We start from the raw sequence: 2,428 nt of genomic DNA, 5'->3' as shown, positions 1-2,428 counted from the left end.
AACATCAACAGGCAAGAAGTAGACTGAGAAAATGTTACAGCATCTGCTGAAGGCATATTCTAGCAATACCCAAGGAGGAAAATGAAAGGAAGAAAACCTCACAGGAGGTGGAGCGAAGAACTACAGAAAACAACAGACTGTAGAGCCCTTTCCAGGGAACAGAATCTGAAACCTAATCATATACAGTTGTCCTTCCATATCCACAGGTTCTATATTTCAAATTCAACCAACCTCAGATGGAAAATATTTAGGGGAAAAAAGGGATAAACATAACACCACCACAATAAAAAATACAAACTTGTAAAACAATGCAGTATAATAATTGTACAGGAAGATGTACATAGGTCATATGTAAATACTACACCTTTTATATAAGGGACTTGAGCATTCATGGATTTTGGTATTTGCAGGGTATCTTGAAACTAATCTCCCACAGATATTGAGGGATGACTGTATAGCATGCCTTGTTCCAAGGGTAGAGAGCCATTGCAACATCTTTACCCTTGCTGTATACCAGTGATGAATGTATCTTGCATTTTTCCTTCATCTGAATATCTACTGGGGCCATCCTAACCTTGGTATATTGTTATAAGGGGTGTAAGGAGAGACAAACAACTTACCTTATGAATGTATAGGTCTCTGTAATAACAGGGTACATGTCAGGACCAAGGTGACCAAAGGCATCACTCAGAGATCCTGGACTTGAAATAGAATCCAGTTGGTTTGGTTAAAATTTTGGGTTATAATCCCTTAGGAAAGAGGTAAGTATTTTTTGCATGTCAAAAGGAAACTAAATTAACTACTTGTTGTGTGATAGGACTGGGTAGTCATCAGGGCTATTCACCGAATATTTCCAACACTCCTCTAGGTACATGGAAGGAGAAAAATGCTCTGCCCTCTTGAAATTGGATGTGGCCGTATGACCTGATTTAGCCAATGACACATTTTCAGAAGTAGTACCAGTGATTTCTAGGCAGAAGTTTTAAGAGCCAATATGCAATTCTGTCTTCCATCCCCTTCTGTCTGGTTTGGCAACAGGCAATGTTTCAGATCAAATCTATTTCATCAGCCTGGATTCCTCAGTCAGGAAGACAAAAAGCAGAACCTCCCAGCTACTTGTGGAAGATGTTGCTGTGAGCTAGTTCTTGTTGTATGAAGCCAATAAGTTTGTTGAGTTGTTTTTATACTAGCATAACTATTCTATCAAGATCGATCCATTAACATGGGTACAAGGTGCCTGTAATTTTGTTCCTGTCTGACTCTCAAGGCATACGCCAACCATTCTCTGAAATGCTTGTACTCCAGAAATTCTAGTAAGCTACTTTAAAATAAAAGAACAATGGTGTGCAGAGCATAAATCGGAGAGAGGAAAACCAGAGAATGATATTGAAGTCATAGGAACAGATGAGCCCAGGTAAATACACAAAGGAGTCTAAATATGAAAGGCTAAGGACAAAGCAAAGGTATTTAAAAGCTGAATGGAAAAAGGCATGGAATGCAACAAGGGAGGATGGAGGCAACTTAAATCTGTTAGAGAAGTTCTAGGGAAACCAAGGGAGAAACATTACAAAACTGAAAGTCTCATAGCATCAAACTGGACAAAAAGATTAAATAGGATAGAGATTAAGAAGAAACGATTAAATCTGACTATTAACAGGACTCTGTTGTCTTCAAGTAGAGTTTCAATGGAAGAAAGGATCAATAAAAGGACTGAAGAGGCCTGGAGATAAAATGAGAGGAGAGGAAGAGGGAGTTCAAGAAGAACAAGGGAAAACTTGCTTCTGGCAGTCACTGCCTCATTCTTTTTTAAAAAGTAAGTCATCTTCTAAGGCTCCTCCACTTCCAAATTCCAAGGACCCAATCCAGAAAGTGAGGTCTAGATTAACCCCAGACATGTGTTGGTTGACCTCCATGCTAAATCTCTACAAGAATCAATGTGGCGTTGGGATCTAAGCCACTCCAGACTTGACAGTGGACAAGTCTAAACTCCTGGATAAGTCTCTCCAAGCTGCTATGTCTCTGAGTGTAGTTTGGTGCTTGAGGAGGAGCCAACATTTGTTACACTTATTATATCAGTCATCTCATTTAATCCCCATTACAACCCTCCAAGGTGTGTCTGCACTGGATAGGTAAGAAAACCAAGGCTCATGGCCCAGCATGGTGGCTTACGGCTGTAATCCTATCACTTTGGGAGGCCAAGGCAGGTGGATCACATGAGCTCAGGAGTTCAAGACCAGCTGGACAACATGGCAAAACCCAATCTCTATAAAAAATACAAAAATTAGCTGGGCATGGTGGCACATGACTATAGTCCCAGCTACTTGTGGGGGCTGAGGTAAAAGGATCACTTAAGCCTGGGAGGTCAAGGCTGCAGTGAGCTGAGATTACGCCACTGCACCACGGCACTCCAGCCTGGGTGACAAAGTAA

This window comes from Homo sapiens, chromosome 13 (genome assembly GCF_000001405.40).
Source record: "Homo sapiens chromosome 13, GRCh38.p14 Primary Assembly".
Classification (NCBI taxonomy): domain Eukaryota; kingdom Metazoa; phylum Chordata; class Mammalia; order Primates; family Hominidae; genus Homo; species Homo sapiens.
Note: the sequence above shows the minus strand (reverse complement) of the source record.